Consider the following 21810-nt stretch of genomic DNA (forward strand, 5'->3'; position numbering starts at 1 on the left):
TCTACTAAAAATACAAAAAATTAGCCAGGCGTGGTGGCAAGCACCTCTAATCCCAGCTACTCGGGAGGCTGAGGCAGGAGAATCACTTGAAACTGGGAGGCAGAGGTTGCAGTGAGCCGAGACCTTGCCATTGCACTCCAGCCTGGGCAACCAAGTGAGACTCCATCTCAAAAAAAAAAAAAATCAGAGCCTCAACTTAAAGGAGTATGTTGGATCAGCCAGATCTGAAGAGTACTACACTCTCATACCAGTAGCAGTGGATTCTTGGATTGGGGATAATGAAAAGTGTGCCCCACTTCTTAGGGGAATTTATGTGCTCTACCTCATCAATTGAGAATTACTCATCTACAGTTATTCCATTTTCTTTCAAATGAGGAAACCAAGGCCAGAAACATTGACTTTTCTACAGTTGACAGAGCTGAAACTCTTTCAACCCTATTCCAGTTACTTAGAGGTGGTAATAAAAGGAAATTTATGGTTTTGTGGCCAGTATTACATGTTCAGAGTGTATCCAAAATTTTAAACCAGCAGAGCAAGCTTCTGTGGACTCAGATACCCTCCTCCCCCATCCTGACACTAGTCATATTGGCACAGGACACAGACATAAATGAAAGGAGCCACAGTGTCTAGTCTGCTTATCCTAAGTGTAACCTTATGAGCTTGCAAAGAAACAGACTTACAAATCGAAGGTGATTGATAGCTGGAGGAATTTACCTTAGGCTAAAGGAATTATTCTAATTTCTGAGTAAGGCTTTTGACTTAAACAGTAATATATTAGCAGGTCAGCTCAGCTTTCATTGAGTAAAAAAATAAAATAAAATAAAAACATGACCTGAATAATGATGTTAACATTTGATCACTTCAGCTTAGTTCAAAGAGACTAGAAATTTGGACTCTAAGTAATGCATTATTTCCTGACTTTGCAGATCAACTTTAGGTGATATTTAAAGATCTACTTAGGAAAAATGACACAGCTCCACAATCTATGATAAGCTTCCTAATAATCTAACTTATGATGATGTAGATTTATCCATCCAAGAGCTTTGTAAGACTGCATCATTAAAATATAATTTCTGGCAGGCACGGTGGCTCACACCTATGAATTAGAGCACTTGGGAGGTCAAGGCAGAGAGATCACTTGAGCCCAGGAGTTAAAGACTGGCCTAGGCAACATGGAGAAACCCCATCTCTACAAAAAATACAAAAAGTATATGAGCGTGGTGGTGCATGCCTATAGCCCAAGCTACTTGGAGGCTGAGGCAGGATCACTTCAGCCCAGGAGGTTGAGGCTGCCGTGAGCTGTGATTGTACCACTGCACTCCAGCTTGGGCAACAGAGTGAAACCCTGTCTCAAAAAAATTAATAAATAGGCCGAGCATAGTGGCTGACGCCTGTAATTCAAGTACTTTGGGAGGCTGAGGTGGGTGGATCACCTGAGGTCAGGAGTTCGAGACCAGCCTGGCCAACGTGGTGAAACCCCGTCTCTACTAAAAATACAAAAATTAGTGTGGCACATGCCTGTAATCCCAGCTACTCAGGAGGCTGAGGCAGGAGAATCAATTGAATCCGGGAGGCAGAGGTTGCAGTGAACCAAGATCACACCACTGCACTCCAGCCTGGACAACAGAGCAAGACTCCGTCCCAAAAATAAATAAATAAAATGAAAAATAAAGAAATAAATGGCCGGGTGTGGTGGCTCACGCCTGTAATCCCAGCACTTTGGGAGGCCGAGGCGGATGGATCACGAGGTCAGGAGATTGAGACCATCCTGGCTAACACGGTGAAACCCTGTCTCTACTAAAAATACAAAAAATTAGCCGGGTGTGGTGGCAGACGCCTGTAGTCCCAGCTACTCAGGAGTCTGAGGCAGGAGAATGGCGTGAACCCAGGAGGTGGAGCTTGCAGTGAGCCGAGATCGCACCACTGCACTCCAGCCTGGGCGACAGAGCAAAACTCTGTCTCAAAAAAGATAAATAAATAAAAAATAAAAATAAAATGAAAAATAAAAATAGAAATAAATAAAATAATATAATTTCTTTATTTTAGAAAAGGAATTGCCAATCCTGAATTTGCATCACATTAGGGCCTTCACAATTATCTGTAGGCTTACAGATGATGAAATCAGGCTTGGGACAGAATTGTTAAAGCTCTCTTTGAAACAAAAGATATTGAGAGTCACTGTTTTTTTGTGTAATGGTTTCCAGGCTTCAATGTGCATAAGAATTAGCTGAGATATGGCCTAGCGAGGTGGCTCACGCCTGTAATCCCAGCACTTTGGGAGGCGGGCTGATCAGGAGGTCAGAGAATTAGCTGAGATATTGATCATTTCAGCTCTTTCCCCAGAGCTTCTGTTGGGAACGCTGGTATGGTGTTTCAGCAGGAATTTGCATTTAACAAGCACTCTGGCACATTCAGACAGATGACCCAGGAACTATACTTTGACAAATACTTCCAGAAAATAAAGGGAGAGGTTAAAAAAAAAAAAAGCGGGGAGGGGGAAACTTTTGAGGAAAACAATGAAGCCATCAAAGGAAAAGTCTTTATTTGTGGAGAAGCTGAATGGCTGTAGGCAGTTGATCTCAAATTGGCTCGAAAACTGGACTGCGGTATTCCGCTAATAGTGAGCTAATGGTTTTTATCACAGTAAACAGAAAAAAAGATCTGAATTTGTATTTTGTTTTTCTTTATTAAACATTTACTGCCTACTGTCACTTTTCTGTTAGCAAAATGAACAGATAACTAAGAAACATTAATTTTAAAAACTCAGAAATAACTCATCAAATTTTGACAACTCTTTTCTTTCTTTCTTGTGAACTCAGGGTTATACAGTCATCCATCACTGTCTGTGGGGGATTGGTTTTAAGAGGACACCGTAAGTTCCATATATGAAATGGTATATAGTGTTTGCATATAAGCTGTGCACATCCTCCCATATATTTTAAATCATGTCTACTTTTTACTTAATACAATATAAATGCTATGTAAATAGTTGTTACATTGTATTGTTTAGAAAATAATGACAAGAAAAAAGTCTGTACGTGTTCTATACGGTCTCTTCTCCTACCCCCCAAAATATTTTCAATCCAAGGTTGATTGAATCCACCAATGTGGGACCCACAGATACAGATGGCTGACTGTCCTTTTTTTTTTTTTTTTTTTTTTTTTTTTTTTGAGACGGAGTCTCGCTCTGTCGCCCAGGCTGGAGTGCAGTGGCGGGATCTCGGCTCACTGCAAGCTCCGCCTCCCGGGTTCACGCCATTCTCCTGCCTCAGCCTCCCAAGTAGCTGGGACTACAGGCGCCCGCCACTACGCCCGGCTAATTTTTTGTATTTTTAGTAGAGACGGGGTTTCACCGTTTTAGCCGGGATAGTCTCGATCTCCTGACCTCGTGATCTGCCTGCCTCGGCCTCCCAAAGTGCTGGGATTACAGGCGTAGAGCCACCGCGCCCGGCCGGCTGACTGTACTTTTAAAAATTACATCAATAGGCCAGGCATGGTGGCTCATGCCTATAATCCCAGCACTTTGGGAGGCTGAGGCAGGAGGATCACCTGAGTTCAGGAGACCAGCCTGGCCAACATAGTGAAACCCTGTCTGTACTAAAAATACAAAAATTAGCCGGGCGTGGTGGCACACGCCTATAGTCCCAGCTACGAGGGAGGCTGAGGCAGGAGAATTGCTTGAACTCGGGAGGTGGAGGTTGCAGGAGTTAGCCAGCCTGGCTAACATGGCGAAACCCCGTCTCTACTAAAAATACAAAAATTAGCCTGGCGTGGTGGCGTGTGCCTATAATTCCAGCTACTCTGGAGACTGAGGTGGGAGAATCACTTGAACCTGGGAGGTGGAGGTTGCAGTGAGTTGAGATTGTGCCAGTGCACTCTAGGCTGGGTGACAAAGCGAGACTCCATCCAAAAAAAAAAAAATTGCATCAATAAAGTATGTGTATATTTGAACTTACTCAAGTTGCTTCTAACCATGTGATGAATTAAATTTATTCTTTTTGATGTATTCCACAAAAAAGCATGGCATCCCACAAAGGGCATCATGACTTCCAGGTGCTTCCCAGGATGAACCAGTTTGAGAACTGTTCTCTTTAGAAAAAGTATTCTTCACTAAGGCATTAGGTTAGGAAATTATTAATTATTGCATGGTTATTGCTTTGCCCATCCATTAAAAAAAAAAGGGGTTTTTTAAATGCTTCATTTTTGAAACCACTGATCAGATGACAAAGATAACCCTGGTCCTTACCTATACAGAATTTTGGTCAAATCATTGACATGAACAGTAGAGAGCTACAATTCAGAGTAGTAAGAGCTGTGATGGGTCAGGGCTAGGGTGCTGAGGAACCAGTAGACTGGACAGTTAACCTCCATTTGTGGGGTTGGCAGCTTCTCTAGGAAGGGGCACCTAATATGAAATATCAAGGCTTAGGAGGCGATACACATACTTTTGGTTTCTGTTTCATTGTTATCATCCTACATAATTGCTTTGTTGTGTTAGTCTTTGAATAAGACAATTTCTTATTTTTACATGCTTCTTAATTTTTTTACATGCTTTTTATTATTTTTACATGCTTTTTTGTTTTGTTTTGTTTCCTTAACTTCCAGCCTTCATTGATATATATACATTTGCAAGTTTGAGTTCTGAGTATTTTTCAAAACTAGCTGGTAATGGTAATGTTTGTTTAGAATTTGAAAACTCGTCAGGCAAAAGATGTTTTCATTAGCCATGGATTGGCCAGTTTTTCCTTGTAGCCAGTTCTTATAATCAGACATTTATATAATTAGTACTTAACCAGAAATTATTGGCTTTCTGTATGATGAAGCAGAATACTCCATTGCCCTGCAGGATGATTGCTTTTAATGATTGCTTAATGATTCTCTTTCTTAGTTAAGAAAACTTTTTTAAAAAATGACAATCTATAAAGCCTTTATTGTTTTTCTCAACTCCTGTGACAGATTACCTATAAAGCTTTTAATACATTAGGTATCACAGGCATTTTTTGGACCATTTACCTGATAGTGAAATAATTTTTTCTTTTTTTTTCTTTTTTTTTTCTTTTTTTTTGAGGCGGAGTCTTGCGCTGTTGCCCAGGCTGGAGTGCAGTGGCATGATCTCAGCTCACTGCACGCTCCACCTCCCAGGTTCACGCCATTCTCCTGCCTTAGCCTCCTGAGTAGCCGGGACTACAGGCGCCTGCCACCAAGCCCGGCTAATTTTTTCTATTTTTAGTAGAGATGGGGTTTCACTGTGTTAGCCAGGATGGTCTCGATCTCCTGACCTCATGATCCGCCCGCCTCGGCCTCCCAAAGTGCTGGGATTACAGGCGTGAGCTACCGTGCTCTGCCAATTGTGAAGTAATTATTTCTTAATTAAGTGGGATAAAGATAAATCGCTCTTTTGTGGCATTAATGTGACCTATCTTAGACATTTTTTTTATTTCTCTTTAATCTCACATGGTGGCTTTCAAACTTTTTAGTTCTGCTATTTTCTTTACAATTTTATTCTCTTTATTTTAAAACAAAATGTTAGTTGGAATGTACCAAAATTGGAAAGCATTGTCTCACTGTCTCTAATTCTTCTCCCATTCTCTTTAACTGATTACAATTAGGCTTGTGCTCCAGATCACAACTAGTTTGATCAAAGTCACCAGTGACCTCCATGTTCCTAAATCTAGCATTAACCTGTTATCAGCATTTGACTACAGTTCATCACTCCCTTCTTAATGGATTTCTAGGACTTTCTTGGTTTTTCTCCTACCTCAGTATATGCTCCTTTACATTCTCCTTTAGTGCTTTCTCTTCTCTCTGACATCTTAACATTACAGTGCCCCAGGGCTTAATCGTAAGCCTATACCTCTCTCCTGAGTGCCAGGCTGTTATGTCCATTTATGTCCTATTTAATACCTCCACTTAGATATCCAATACACACCTCAAAGTTAACCTACCCAAAACTGAACTCCTGATCTTCCCCTGAAATCTATCATTTTCCTACTGTCTCTTATCATTCTGATTTTTCAAACCAGAAGCCTGGGCTCTGCCTTCATAATTTATCCAGAATCAGACCTCTTCTTGCCACCTTCCTTCACTTGTACCATCATAGTCTAAGTCATCGTCGTTGCTCACCTGTATTATTGCAGTAGCCTCCTTTCTGGTTTTTCTGCTCCCCTACAGGTTCTTCTCAAAGTAGCAGTCAGAATAGTCCTTTTAAAATATTTCAGATAATGTTACTCCTTTGCTCAAAACCCTCCGTTAACTCCGCATTTCACTCAGAGTAAAAGCCGTATACAGTGACACTATGTGACTGCCCCCCTCCTCTCCCCACATGGCCTCTCTCTGATTACTGCTCATTTTCTCTCTCCATTTCAGACATCTTGGCCTCCTTGTTTTCTTGAATATTCCAGATATGCCCACTATGGAACCTTTGCACCCATTGTTCTGTCTGCCAGGAAAAGCTCTTCTGGATATTTGTATGGCTAACTTCCTTTCCTCCTTTATGTACTTGATCAAATGTCATCTTTTCAGTGAGGCCCTAACCATTTAAAAATTGAAAGCTTCCTCCTCCCATGGCTCTCCGCTTATTCTGTTCAATATTTTTCCATAACATTTATCAATTTTTAACGCATATATCGTATATATGATATAGATAGATAGTGCATGTCTGTGCTTCTCCCAGCTCTCCCACTAGAATGTAAGTTCCGTGAGGACAGTGATTTTTGATTCAATAAGGTGTACCTCAAATGCCCAGAACAGTGACTAGTATGTAGTGTGCATTCAATAAATATCTCTTGAATGATTGGTTCATGACTGACAAAGGAGTTGAAACCCAGTTTGAAAAATGCTTGTCTGATAGCTAGACTCAATCCTTAATTTTTTATTTGAGGTGCTATATATAAACACACTTTTTTGGAATAAGCTAAATATTTTGTAGTTGTTTTCAAGTGATCTTCTTCAGTTAGGTTTGGTTTATCCAAAGTGCTTTGATGGCCGCAGTGGCTCATGCCTGTAATCCCAGCACTTTGGGAGGCCGAGGCAGGCAGATCACTTGAGGCCAGGAGTTCAAGACCAGCCTGGCCAATATGGTAAAACCGCCTGTCTACTAAAAATACAAAAAATTAGCCAGGCATGGTGGCATGCGCCTGTAGTCCCAGCTACTCTGGAGGCTAAAGGATGAGAATTGCCTGAACCCAGGAGGCAGAGGTTGTAGTGAGCAGAGACTGCCTCACTGCACTCCAGCCTGGCAACAGAGCAAGACTCTGCCTCAAAAACAAAACAAAACAAAACAAAACAAAACCAAAAAAAAAGTGCTTGCTATAGTCATTCTAATAATCTAAGTGAAAAAATAAGTATTTTTCTGATATTACCCCTTGTATTATATAACCTCGAAAACCAGTCATCCACTGTTAGCTATTTGCACTTCAGATATTTTTCCACACACAAATGTATATTAAATAATACTATATATGGTGTTCCACACTTGCATTTTTTGTTTTTTTGTGTTTGTTTTGTTTTTGTTGTGGTGGTTATTTTGGTTTGTGCCTAATATTCTACCACAGATGCCATGTTTTGAGATGCAATATAGCATGCTCAGTAAGAGCATGGATGTCAAGCTGAACTGTCTAGGTTCAAACCCCAGCTTTGCCAATTACCAGCTATTGGATTCTGGACAAGTTTACTTAAGTTCTCTGTGCCTTTGTTTTCTCATCTCTAACATGGGAATAATAATAGTATTTACATTGTATTGTATCAAATGACACTTGATACACATATGTGGGTATAAATGTTAGCTGTCATCATTAGTATTACATATTGCCCTACCTCATTGTTTCTCATCACTATATAATATCATGTTTTTAAAGTGCTTTTTATTTAATCAGACCCTTTTTTGATACATATTTAGATTGTTTCTAATTCTTCACTATTACAAACAATAATCATGAGCAGTGGTAAGTCTGTGTATTTGTATAACTATTTCCACAAAACAAAGGTAGATGTAAACATATTGAGTCTAAAATATAAACATTGTTGTACAGTGTACACTCACACCAACCATGTACCAGTGTGTATTTCCCTACACTTTTGCTGCTGCTGGATATTATCAGGCTTAAATATCTTTCTTGGTTTTCTTCTAGTATTTTATGGTTGATGAGCTAGTTCTTTTTCCCTGCTCCCAGACCGTACTTACATTTTTATTCTATCTGAAATGCATTTTTGTGTATAAGGTGAGATAGTGACCTGTTTTTTTAAAATAGTTAATTCTGATACCCAGTATCTTTTCCCTCACTGATTTGAAATGCTATCCCTGTGACATAACAAACACCCATGTACACCTAGATCTCTTTCTGAACTCATTCTCTTCTGTTGACCTGTCTATTCCCAAGTACCATCAATTTTAATCATCATAGCTTAACACTGTTTAATGTATTTACAGCCCTACCATACACACTCAAGTGTACACACATTGTTCCTGTTTTTTAGAACAATTATTCCAGATACATTTCAGAATAATTTTTAGTTTTTAAAATTTACGGCCAGGCGCCATGGCTCACACCTGTAATCCCAGCACTTTGAGAGGCCGAGGCGGGCAGATCACCTGAGGTTAGGAGTTCGAGACCAGCCTGACCAGCATGGAGAAACCCTGTCTCTACTAAAAATACAAAATTAGCCGGCGTGGCAGTGCATGCCTGTAATTCCAGCTACTCAGGAGGCTGAGACAGGAGAATCGCCTGAACCCAGGAGGCAGAGGTTGCGGTGAGCTGAGATTGCACCATTGCACTCCAGCCTGGGCAACAAGAGCCAAACTCCATCTCAAATAAAAATAAAAATAAAATTTACCCTCTGTAATTTTGTTTCAAACTGTTAAGAATATCGATTAATTTGGAAAGATTTGTATCTTTACAATAGTGAGTGTTAAAATGTCTATTCATTTATTCAGGGCTTTTTTAATATAGGTCATACACATATATTATAATGTGTATTGCTGTGTATTTAGTAGGTTTTGTTACCATTTTGAACATGGGCTTTTTTTTCATTATGTAGTTTAATATAAGATATTGATTACATTATATGGATATGTATATATGCATGCATATATATTTTTTATTCACTTACTTTTTTACACTCTCTTTTTTTTTTTTTTTTTGAGAGAGGGTCTCTGTTACCCATGCTGGAGTGCAATGGCATGATCACGGCTCACTGCAGCCTTGACCTCCCAGGCTCAAGCAGTCTTCATACTTCAGCCTCAGTAGCTGGGACTACAAGTGTGCGCCACCAGGCTGAGCTAATTTTTTCTATTTTTTGTAGGAATGAGGGTCTCACTTTGTTGGCCAGGCTGGTCTCAAACATCTGGGCTCAAGTGGTCTTCCCATCGGCCTCCCAAACTGCTGGGATTACAGGCATGAGCCACCACGCCCAGCTCTTTTACACTCTCTTTTATTTGCAGTTCTTAGATTTTCTAACTTTACAGTCACATCATATGAAATGATTAATTTCATCCTCCTTCTTAACATTTATACCATTTCTTTTTCTTAATTTATTGTAGCATCTAGACTCCAGAATGATGCTGAATAATAGTGATGATAGCAGGCAGCATTGATTCTGTGTGTGTATAATTTTACTGGAAAAAAAATTTTAAATAATGACTTTATTGGGGTTGGTTAAGTTATTATTTCTAATCAGCCTTATCTCAAGTCTTGTCATTTTACATTAAACAAGAGAATACTTGAGAAAGTGTAAGATCTTTCTGCTCTGGGAGCAAAACATAATCTTTGGCTAAGAATAAGAGGACTAGACTGGGTGCAGTGGCTCACGCCTATAATCCCAGCACTTTGGGAAGCCGAGGTGGGCGGATCACCTGAGGTCAGGAGTTCGAGACTAGCCTGACCAATATGGTGAAACCCTGCCTCTACTAAAAATACAAAATTAGCCGGGCATGGTGGTGCATGCCTGTAATCACAGCTACTCGGGAGGTTGAGGCAGGAGAATCGCTTGGACCTGGGAGGCAGAGGTTGCGGTGAGCCGAGATCACGCCATTGCACCCTAGCCTGAGCAACAAGAGCAAAACTGCGTCTCAAAGAAAAAACAAAAAAAGAATAAGAGGACTAATAACTATTTGAATCCCTGGCAGTTTACATCTGAGTACCTTCTCCAAGTGACACATTAAGAGTTATGACTAATGAAGTTTGCTTCCAAAGTTATATGAAATAATGCCCTCTTTTTTGGTCTCCTGGATAATAGGCTAGGTTTGGCCTTCCTTGATATTCAGTTATTTGGAGCTCAAAGTGGACAAGAGCTGTTGCTGCCCCTATCCTGGGAAGCTAATCCTTCACATGCTGCTAACTTGGGTTAGATCTTCTGCCAGCAGAACCTCACCCGTCTTTCCCCTCCAAGCAAGTCAGTGCCGGTGATTCCTTGGACACCAGAAATGCTAATCTTGTCTATTTGAATAGGCCTAAAGGTCAGGTTTAACAGATTGTTCAAGTGTATCTGACTTTGAGTTAACTTTCTTCTCATAACTCTATCTGGGCAATAGAAAGCCACAAATTTTAAATCTCAACTGTAATCAAGTATGAAATGTCTTGGCTTATTTTTCCTTGACCAGTTAGCTGCCTTTCACAGATAAAGATTATATCTTAGATAATTATTGTAGAAAGAGGAAGATAAAGTTTTATACTTTTAAAAAAACCCTGTGGAAATTTACTATTTGGTCTACCCTTAACAATTGCCATATTTAGTGGTTGTCTACTTTTTGTTGTTGTTGTTGGGGTTTAAATTTTAGTTCAAGTAACCAGTTCAATTTCTCAGTAATCATAGTCTACTTAGCTTTGTTTCTTTCTCCCAAGTTAGCAATATTAGTATTTCTCCTCATTTTTTTATTATGAAAGATGTCAAATATAAGTGAATTAGTTGTATTACAAAATGCCCACATTCTGGATTTGTCTGTTACTTCATGGTTAATATTAGAACTTTTTTTTTTTTTTTGAGACTGAGTCTCACTCTGTTGCCCAGGCTGGAGTGCAGTGTCGTGATCTCAGCTCGCTGCAACCTCCGACTCCCCGGTTCCAGCGATTCTCCTGCCTCAGCCTCCCGAGTAGCTGGGACTACAGGCGCCCACCACTACACCCGGCTAATTTTTTATAATTTTAGTAGAGACGAGGTTTCACCGTGGTAGCCAGGATGGTCTTGATCTCCTGACCTCGTGGTCCACCCGCCTCGGCCTCCCAAAGTGCTGGGATTACAGGTGTGAGCCACCGTGCCTGGAAATATTAGAACTTTTAATCATCATAGTTTTAATGACTTAGATGCATTTGCTGAGAATAATTTGAATATTTGTGTAATGCCACTGCTTAAAAATTCCTAATATTGGTCTGATTCCTTTTGATGCCATTACTGAGTATGATCTTAGTGGAGAAATCCTGTAAACTCCAAGAACAAGATCCTAACTTTAGAATATCTGTATTTTCTCTCCATTTCTAACAAAGATTTCTTCTATAGCTGTGAATGAGCTACTCAACCACTCTGCCTGTGCTATAAATAACAATTAGATCTGCCTACTTCATTTAAAGTTCAGTGGGTTTACTGACTGATGTTTATAAAGCCCATAGGAGATGTAAAGCATAGTTTAAATGGTGATAATTAGAGAAATGAGTGTACTATTTTGGTTCTTTCAAACAAGTTTACATTTAGCACGTCATATCTTCTGTAGACATTTCTTATTTCATATGTACGTTTAGATCAAAAGAAAGGAAAACTATCATTAAATGCCTACTGTGTGGTAAGCACTGTGCTAGAGTCTTCCACTGCTTCTTCTCATTTAATTTTTAAGTCTCCATCTAACCTGTGAAATAAGCAAGTTATTATTTCCATTTTACAGACAACGAACCAAGGATCAGAGATGTATAATAACCTTATTCTTTATTACAAACATCATGTTAGAGCCACACTATGAATCCAGACCTTTGTAAATTTTCTAAGCTAAACTTTATCATGAGAACCCTTCAAGAATTCTTCTGAATGTCACATATATGGAGGAAAATCTCTCCAAAAAATGTTGGTAGCTACTAATGAAGAATTTCTTTTATCTTCTGAGCGGAAACATTTAATATGTATATTAAATAAAATGTTTTTTAAGTGTTAATTTTCTAGTTATATTACATTTCCTGTCACTGACTCTGTTCTAGGATGTTGGCAAAGGATGAACTGATGACCATACTTGAGAAATGTTTCAAGGTTTTTAAGTCTTATTGTGAAAACCACCTTGGCAGCACAGCTAAGAGAATAGAGGAGTTCCTGGCCCAGTTTCAGAGCCTCGATGGTAAGAGTGTAATATCCTTCCAATTCTATTGGCCATGACAGTCATTTAACTAAAATGGCATGGAAAACCCCACCTTCTGATGTGCTTAGAGATAAAGAGATAAAGTAGTTCATGATCAGTCAGTATGCCAAGCCTCATAGTATCACATTTTAACAATCACAAATAGGCCAAATGTTTCTCTTCTAGATTTGGTTTAAACAATGGAGAGCATCAAATGGGCAGAAAAAGAAAATCTTTCTCCAGATCGACAGTTTGGGGGATTTGTCTTTAAAAAGTCAACAAAAAGAAATCAAAAAGATTGGAAAGAGTAGCAGGGTGTCATAATTAAGAACTCTTTTTAGAGGTTTTTTCTTAAGCATTTCATCAAGTTCTTTATAGATTTCCAAAGCACTGCATAAATCATCTGTAAGCTTGAAAAATTAATAGCTATGAACTGCTTTCACAGCAGTGAGGCTCATTGGTATGTTGATTACCAAAATCTGCATGAGGCTTACTTTAATCGGATTTACAAAAGCTGGAATCTTTCAGTCCTAAATTAACTGAAGCAGCCTGGCACTCTTCACTGTTGGAGGGTTACAGTTTCTCTCTTTTGCTTGACCTCCACATGATCATTTATATATCCTGAATGCTTAGGGTGTCTGATTGTATATAGGTAGCCATGTTCTGTTCCCTAAATACTAGCTTTTCATGGGCTCTTCTCTTGCTCTGTTTCTAGCACCAAAGTATGGTATTCTTTTAGTAGAACAATAACAACAATAAAATATATTGGTGTGTACGTTTTACTTTTCCCAAATTTAGGGCAATTTTTTAATGGAGTTTTGGGGGAACAGGTAGTTTTTTCATATATAATCACATAGAATTGGACATGACATGTTGAAAATATCTTATTTAAAATGTCTGTTTTAATCCTTTTTTATGTTTGGCAAGTGCTTCTTTGTCTTAAAAATCTTTTGGCTTTAGGAAACTGCTTTTGCAAAAATCTTCCCATATCTCTCCATAGCTACAATGTGAGGCACCTGATGAGTGCTCAGTCATGGAAGATGAAAGAGAATGTTTGCCTGACTAGAGTGGCCTGAGCAGCCAGAGTGAGGAAGTCATCAGCAGGCACTAAGGGATTTTCTTTCAGGTTATGTGTGGGCATTGCTCTTGCCACTGCAGCATGAACTCAACCACTCTTCAGAACACAAAAACTTTTAAGGGCTGGATGTTGGTATCATTAAGATCATTGAGTTCAGCTATATAACCAGAAACTAAAGTCTAGGAGAAGACGGCAGCTTGTTTGAGATCACACAGCTAGCTAGTGGTAGCACTCAGACCAGAGCCCATCTCTCTTAACCACTAGTTCATTGTTTTTCTGTCGCTAATTCACGATATAAATACGCCCTAATAGTGATCACTGGATCAGCAAGGGGCCAACCTTAAGTACATAAATAGGGTAAAAGGCTTAGAAAAATAGAAGGTAAATACTGTGTAAATTTCAGTCTTTTACAAAATGGGACTTATGGAGATTGCTGTAAAAATAAACTGCACATATAATTTTTTCTTCTTTTTTTGCTGGGCACCATTAACGAGGTAATCTAGATACATTTTTAATTAGAGTTCATATAATATGAGCTAGTAAACAAATTCTGTGATATGCTAGAGCTAAATAAAGGAATGCAGCTTTTGAAATGGGAAGGTCGAAGATTAAGATGATTAGTAGCCTAAAGAATAAAGAATTTTACAAATTAAAGCACAACCACTGTCTTGAAGAAATGTCTGTTATTTCCTGATTTTCAAAAGTGACTCATTATTAATAATAAACTGAAACTAAAACTCCCCACGTTGGATGAGTAGAAATATTTGGCTATATGCTATCTGTGTTCCTTAACATTTATTACATATTACAGTTTGGGTTTAAAATTACAGTTGGGAAGAGTTAAGTAGGACAGAGTGTCATATCAGATTTTTTTTGAGACAGGATCTTGCTGTGTTGTCCAGGCTTAAGTGCAGTTGTGCAGTCATAGCTCACAGTTCCCTCAGACCTCCTGGGCTCAAGTAATCCTCCTGCCTCCACCTCCTGAGTAGCTAGGACTACAGAAAAGGGCCACAACATCCAGCTGAATTTTTTTTTTTTTTTTTGGAGACAGAGTCTCCCACTGTTGTCCAGGCTGGAGTGCAGTAGCATGATAGGCTCACTGCAGCCTATACCTCCCAGGCTCAAGTGATCCTCCCATCTTAGCCTCCCAAGTAGCTGGGACTACAGGCACGTCCCACCACACTTGGCTAATTTTTTTGTATTTTTGTAGGGATGGGGTTTTTCCATGTTGCTCAGGCTGGTCTCGAACTCTTGGGTTCAAGCAATCTGCCTGCCTCAGCCTCCCAAAGTGTTGAGATTATAGGCATAAGCCCCCTCATCAGCCTAATTATTATTATTATTTTTTTTTTTTTTAAATAGAGACAGTGTCTCACTATGTTTCCCAGCCTGGTCTCGAACTCCTTGTCTCAAGTGATCCTCACACCATGGCCTCCCAAAGTGCTGGGATTATAGGAATGAGGCACTTCATTCAGCCCATATTAGATATATTTCAAAGGCATATTAGGTTTATTAACATGTAGCAAACTACATGTTAATGACATGGGACAAAGAATCTAGTAGACATTTTAACCTTTAGTTATGTCTTTTTTGAACCAGAAATTAGCTGTAGCTAAAAAGCAGTTTATTCTTTAAGCCAATGCATATTCTCCAGCTGCATCCTCCTGTCATAGTTTTAGGCCAAACAAACCATGTGTGTGGGGTTCACAAAACCCAACCTGCACTTGAAGAAGAATATGAGAGCATTATGCTCTCTAGAAGGAGCACAGCTGTACATTTAAGCAGTTATGGTTTTCTTTCCCTTTGCTAAAGAACCATGATGCACTTTATGTTTTAGTGGATTATTTCAAAACTTTTACACACTACCCTCCTCATACTCAAATTTTGTTGTTTACAATCTTGACATAATCAAAGGAAAACAGTTTTAAGTTTTTATTATTTTTTTAAAAAGCTATGTATAACATCAAAAATATTTGAGACTGGCTGGGCATGGTGGCTCGTGCCTGTAATCCCAGCACTTTGGGAGGCCAAAGCGGGTGGATCACCTGAGGTCAGCAGTTCGAGACCAGCCTGGCCAACGTGGCGAAACCCCTTCTCTACTAAAAATACAAAAATTAGCCAGGCATGGTGGCCGGCACCTGTAATCCCAGCTACTCCGGAGGCTGAGGCAGGAGAAGCACTTGAACTGGGAGGAGGAGGTTGCAGTGAGCCAAGATGGCGCCACTGCACTCCAGCCTGGGCAACAGAGCAAGACTCCATCTGAAAAAAAAAAATTTTTTTTTTTGAGACTTTTTGCTGTTGGTTTGAGGGAGTTTTGTTAGGTTGTATTTTGTTTTGTTTTCATTGTGGTTACACTTTTAAAATTCAGTAGCTGATTTTTTGAAGACATCACTACAGCACAAGTTATATATTATTGGCCTTCAGCTTCTGTAAGAAATCATTTATCAGATGGAATCTTGATCCCTTGCCACATTAAAAAAATATATATAGGTGAAACTTTTACTTTGGAGTAGTAGAAATGTTTGTTCCCTTGACTTGGATTTACCCTCATTGATGTCTACTGGTTTTGTATTAAAAGCAGAAACCAAAGAGGAAGAAGATGCTTCTGGGTCACAGCCAAAGGGGCTTCAGAAGACAGACCTCTATCATCTTCAGAAGGTCAGGTCACTCTCTTCCCTTCCAGCTGCATCCTGTGACACTCCCTTTTTTCAGTTTGTGCTCTAGATTAACTCTGCCTGGATGTTTTTGTTTTCATTTTTAAACCACAACCAGGAACAAAGCAGACTTTTAACTCACTTCTAAGTTGAACATCCTGTTAGTCCCATTGCCATCATTACTCTACATATACACATTCTGGAACCTACTAGCTAACATAGGTGGAAACCATTCCTGTGGGCTCAGCAAGAGAAAGAGAATCAGCTAGCAATAAGAGAAAATGGGAACATGGCTGCACAAATCTGATTATTTATCTGATGTATTTTTCTGTTTGATCAAACTGAGAGATTTAAAAGAGCCTAACTAATTAGTTTTAGTTACTTTCCTTGATTTTTTAAAATGCATATTCAAGTATAGAGCAGAAATTGAGCCACAGTATATCCAATATATTCTTTTTCAGATAGTTCTAACTTTAGGATCTTGATTGTCGAAATGAAGAACCTTCTTTGTACTGTGATACCAAATTATGATAAATGTAGAGTAAAATTTCAATCTAAGTAAAATAAAACACATGGAATCTATTCTGTTAGTATGGCAAAAAGGCAAGATTTTTTTCTTTATCCTGTTAAGTCCTTTTCTTAAATGACTTAATGGACTGAATAGTGAGCACTCTGCCATGTAATTTAGTAGTAAAGTGAACTGCCCTTTTCTTCTTTCCCTAAAAATTTGCTTGTATATTATAAAGCAAAACACCTTTGAGGCGAGATTCTTGCCAGACCTTAAAAATAAAAAGAATAAACAAAACCCATTTTGATCTTTCTCTGTACATCCTGTCTTATGGAAAGGGCATCAGGTGCTTCTATAGAACTTACCAACAGAGCTCCCTCTGAGGGGTTTTCTGTCTGAGGATCACCAGAAAAGCTATGTTCTTTTATCTATAGTCCTTATTGGAAATGAAGGAGTTAAGAAGAAGTAAGAAGCAAACCAAATTTGAAGTACTCAGAGAAAATGTTGTGAACTTCATTGACTGTCTAGTGAGGTAAGTCTAAATTTAGCTCTTAAGAGCTAAAAATCATGCTGTTTTTCCAAATAACACTGGTGTCATAGCTGTCTATAGCCAATCCAGAACATTTTTCTCCTAGGTTAGGCTTTATGCTTTTCAGGTCTCTCCATCTAGCTTAGAGTTGTAATTTTTAGGCCAGGCGTGGTGGCTCACGCCTGTAATCCCAGCACTTTGGGAGGCCAAGGCTGGTGGATCACGAGGTCAGGAGATCGAGACCATCCTGGCTAACAAGGTGAAACCCTGTCTCTACTGAAAGTACAAAAAATTAGCTGGGTGTGGTGGTGGGCACCTGTAGTCCCAGCTACTCGGGAGGCTGAGGCAGGAGAATGGCATGAACCCAGGAGGCGGAGCTTGCAGTGAGCCAAGATCGTGCCACTGCACTCCAGCCTGGGCAACGGTGCAAGACTCCGTCTCAAAAAAAAAAAAAAGAATTGTAATTTTTATTCTTTTTCCATCATTATCAAGATGTCTAATCAAATGACTTAGTTCATTCTTTTAATCTCAGTTAAGAATATAGGCTTAAATTTGATCTACTTCATTAGGTCAGGTGGGGAGAGATGAGATAGAAAGTGAATGTTTCTCTTTCTAATAATAAAGTATTTGTATTACACTTTATCTTTGCTAGGAGTAAATGCTGGATCTGAGCCAAGCCCAGAAAGTAGAGCAGACTAGCCATGCTGCTCTATTTTATCCTGAAGAAAGAACATTTAATTCTAAACAATGCCAGTGCACCTCATTATCAGCACTAAATTTATGTTGAGACATGTGCTGGGTAAATTTAGAAGTCTACCAATCCAGCCTGTATTTTAAGATGTTTCCTTTTTAGGAAACCCAGATCATTCTGATTCATGGATTTCCCAAAAGTCAGCTTTATGTAGCCGTGTAAAATCACCCACCTAAGTTTGGTGGAAGTTGGGCATGCTACAGAAAAAAATGAGAAGTGTGCAAAAGAAAACGATTTAATACCTAAAAAGTGGGGCGGGGGGGGGAGAACCTGTTATCATTGTTTATTGTAATTTTTTTTTTTTTTTTTTTTTTTGAGACGGAGTCTCACTCTGTCGCCCAGGCTGGAGTGCAGTGGTGTGATCTTGGCTGACTGCAACCTCCGCCTCCCGGGTTCAAGGGATTTTCCTGCCTCAGCCTCCCGAGTAGCTGGGATTACAGGCATGTGCCAACAGGCCTGGCTAATTTTTGTATTTTTAGTAGAGACGGGGTTTCACCATGTTGGTCAGGCTGGTCCTGAACTCCTGACCTCATGATCCACCCACCTCGGCTTCCCAAAGTGCTGGGATTACAGGCGTGAGCCACCGCGCCCGGCCCTGTTTATTGTAATTTTTAATGGCAGTTTAAACCCAACAGCAGGCTAGGCACTGAATAAAGTACTGAGAAAATAGCAGCACAATTATTAAAGAGAAAGAGTGCTTTTCTGACAAATTACATGTCTTTTCTGAAAGTGAAAAGCTTAGTTTTCCAGAATAATGTGGGGACAGAGTCATTGTTCCTAGTCATTGGGGAGAAATTGCTAATGCCATGAAAAGGTCCAAAACGATCAACCAAGGCCGGGCGCATTGGCTCACGCCTGTAATCCCAGCATCTTGGGAGGCCAAGGTGGGCAGATCACTTGAGGACAGGAGTTTGAGACCAACCTGACCATCATGGTGAAACCCCGACTCTACTAAAAATACGAAAAATAGCTGGGCATGGTGGCGCACACCTGTAATCCTAGCTACTTGGGAGGCTGAGGGAGGAGAATGGCTTGAACCCGGGAGGCAGAGGTTGCAGTGAGCTGAGATCGCACCACTGCACTCCAGCCTAGGCAACAGAGCAAGACTCCATCTCGAGAAAAAAAAAAAAAGTGATGAACTGCAATATTGGCCAAATACTGGTCAAAAATTACATAGAACCCACAGAGTTAACCTTGCCCTACTGGGCTTTCCTGTTCTTGTAGAGTCTAGCCCCAAACTCTTGACTCTTCCCTTTTACCAGGCAGTGAACATGGTAGTCACTAAAAATAATTTTGCAATGTGATTTGCCAATTTTAGGCCAAATGTCAGGTTCCAGAGTTCTTACAAATTCCAAATTGTAGGCTCTGAAATCACATCAGCCGTTTCCCTGTCATGATCCTTCACCTAATATGTCTGACTTTTTACCTTTCTGAGCAGTTGTTGAAATAATGCTCAGTATAATTAAATGTGTTTTGTTGTAAAATCACAAAATCTTCCATACTAGGATTTAGTGTCTTTACCAAGATTGTCCCAGGAGGGAAGAGATTAGAATTGTAGCATGTTAAAGCTAAAAGAGACCTGAAGAGTCAGCCCTGTGGCAGCTAAAGGCCAGAGAGGGGCTGTGACTCATGCAAGGTCACACAGTCTCATTCTCCTGACATCTGCCAAAAGGCCCTCTCCATTTCTCTACACTGCCCTCAACAGCCACACCACAGATGTCTGGGCAGAGCTTGGAGTTATGGAGAAAGGATGTCCTTTAAAGACAAATATAAGCAGGAGACTTCAGGAGGCAGAGTTCACAGTATACCATGAGCAGCTCTTGGCAAAAATACTGGCAGGCAAGAATAAGTTGCCAGATCTTGAGAGATGAGAATAAATTGCCACTTTCTAAGTTACTGTTTTTGCCAATAGCAAGCTTCAACTTTGTAGCCCTTGTTGATACTAATTCCTCCAGTTCCTTCAGAACCACCTCTTTCAGGGAAGGCCTATCATTTGTCTGGTCTGAATCCAAAATGAGCATAATGCAGTGCTTTAGTGCCAGACTCATTGCTTACTTCTTCTCACATAAATAAGTCACAGAAGTATATTTCTATGTCAATCTCCAAGTCTGCAGTCAGATAAAAATTCTAATGTATAATGTATTTTGTTACTGTTGTTGTTCAACTAATGTAGCCAGTGGAAACAAAATTAAGGCAGATATTTTATTTTTGCTCTGATGGTTCTTTGAGGATATCTAGAGAGGTCTTTTGCCTTGGGAAATGCCTGAATTTCTATATATCACATGTAAAAATGTTAAAATGTGAGGCGATAGTTTGAGTTTCTGAAGTTGACTCTATCTGATTGCCTTGTTAGATATCCAATCCTTATTACATAGCAGGGACTGCAACAAGATCTTTTAATGACAGCCATGTATAATGATTGGGAAATAACTGCCTGAGGTTAGTGTAGGAAGAGTTTATGGTCAGAAATTACAAATTGGTAGCCAGCCATCACAGAAACTATTTCCTGAAGCTACAGCTAAGTTAACTTAACCTTGAGTAATTAAGATGTTAACAGTATCTGAGGTATAGAATATTGTTTCTTAGTGAGGATCAAGTCAAAATCATACACTCTTTGCAAGTAAGTTTTGTTCCAGTTGACTCTGGAGAAGGAGCAGCACCTAGAATTAGAATGAGCAAGGGGTCATTAGCTCTTGAGATGGGGGAGAAAAGGAGGATGGTGAAGAGTGATGTCCATGTTGAATACCCTTTCCACTTCCTCTCTTCTTCAGAGCTCCTGGCCACATCGGGACAAAGCAAGTGTAGGGGATTTCTAGGGAGTGGTATCCTCTCCAGAAGAAGAGAAAGGATACTTGGAAGAAGGGGAATAATGTCCCCAGTGACTGGGCTGAGGTAGCTGCTTTGCTCTGCTTGTACTGGTAGGAAAAGGAGCTGACACAAGCTGTCATGTGGCCAAAATACTTTAGGCTCAGGACTGGACTAAGCCCCAGAAATCTTCTTTATGAAGTCATGTGAGTTAACTATATACTTTAATCCAGTTAGTGACATTACTCTGTCTATGGGTTATGTGTGCCAAAGCTTCTCCCCTCCAATTTGCCACCCTCCAGGCATCCAGTATAGTATCACTGTCATGGCACAGACCACCTGATGGGCTCATTATACATGCAAAGCAAATTTTTAATGCCATATTTTTTAGTTCCGAATTTATTAAAATTGTTTTATCATCTAGCTCATAGGTGAAAAAAATCCCAAATTATGGCAGATTTTTTATAAGTGAAATTTTATTAATGATTTGTTTTTCAATACTCTGAAACTAAGATTTAGTCTTTTCTGCCTTCTAACGTAATAAGTAATTCCAATATATAAAAAACTTTTGGGCCGGGTGCGGTGGCTCACACCTGTAATCCCAGCACTTTGGGAGGCCAAGGCTGATGGATCACCTGAGGTCAAGAGTTCAAGACCAGCCTGGCCAACATGGTGAAACCTCATCTCTATTAAAAATACAAAAATTAGCCGGGCGTGTTGGTGGGCACCTGTAATCCCAGCCTCTCAGGAGGCTGAGGGCTGAGTCAGGAGACTCACTTGAACCTGGGAGGCAGAGGTTGCAGTGAGCCGAGATTGCACCACTGCACTCCAGTCTGGGTGACAAGAGTGAAACTCCGTCTCAAAAAAAACCAAAACAAAACAAAAAAACCCCACAACTTTTGAGGTGTCATTTCCATGAAAGATATCAACTAAAAATTTTCTGTGATCCAAGAAGAATTTCCTGAACTCTTAATTCCAGGCCTGTGTTTAATATTGCCAAAGGTTAAATGTTTGCTGTGCTAGAAAATGTAGATATCTGTTTTCTCATTTACTTTAAGAAATGCTATCTTAAAGATTTCTAAGCAGAAATGTAGTATATATACATTTGTTCCTAAAGGTTTAACTCAGAACTGAAATATACAGCTTCTTATAAAGAGTCTAGAGGTAGTTTTAAAAAC

At 39.6% G+C, this 21810-nt stretch overlaps 1 protein-coding gene across 15 annotated transcripts in view; it reads left to right on the forward strand.

Annotated features, from left to right (window-relative positions):
- Positions 1–21810, forward strand: part of ORC3 (origin recognition complex subunit 3) — an 87689-nt gene that overhangs the window by 50805 nt on the left and 15074 nt on the right. For 7 of the 15 annotated variants that reach the window (XM_017010633.3, XM_047418550.1, XM_017010634.3 and 4 more), the window contains 3 exons: positions 12177–12310; positions 15967–16043; positions 16982–17079. In XM_017010633.3, the coding sequence (XP_016866122.1) occupies positions 12177–12310; positions 15967–16043; positions 16982–17079 (309 nt within the window). Of the gene's footprint in view, positions 1–2819; positions 2873–10233; positions 10254–12176; positions 12311–15963; positions 16044–16981; positions 17080–21810 lie in introns of those variants that run through there. The other 8 variants (XM_017010632.3, XM_005248704.3, NM_181837.3 and 5 more) reach the window with 3 other exon arrangements.

Source organism: Homo sapiens, chromosome 6 (genome assembly GCF_000001405.40).
Source record: "Homo sapiens chromosome 6, GRCh38.p14 Primary Assembly".
Taxonomy (NCBI): domain Eukaryota; kingdom Metazoa; phylum Chordata; class Mammalia; order Primates; family Hominidae; genus Homo; species Homo sapiens.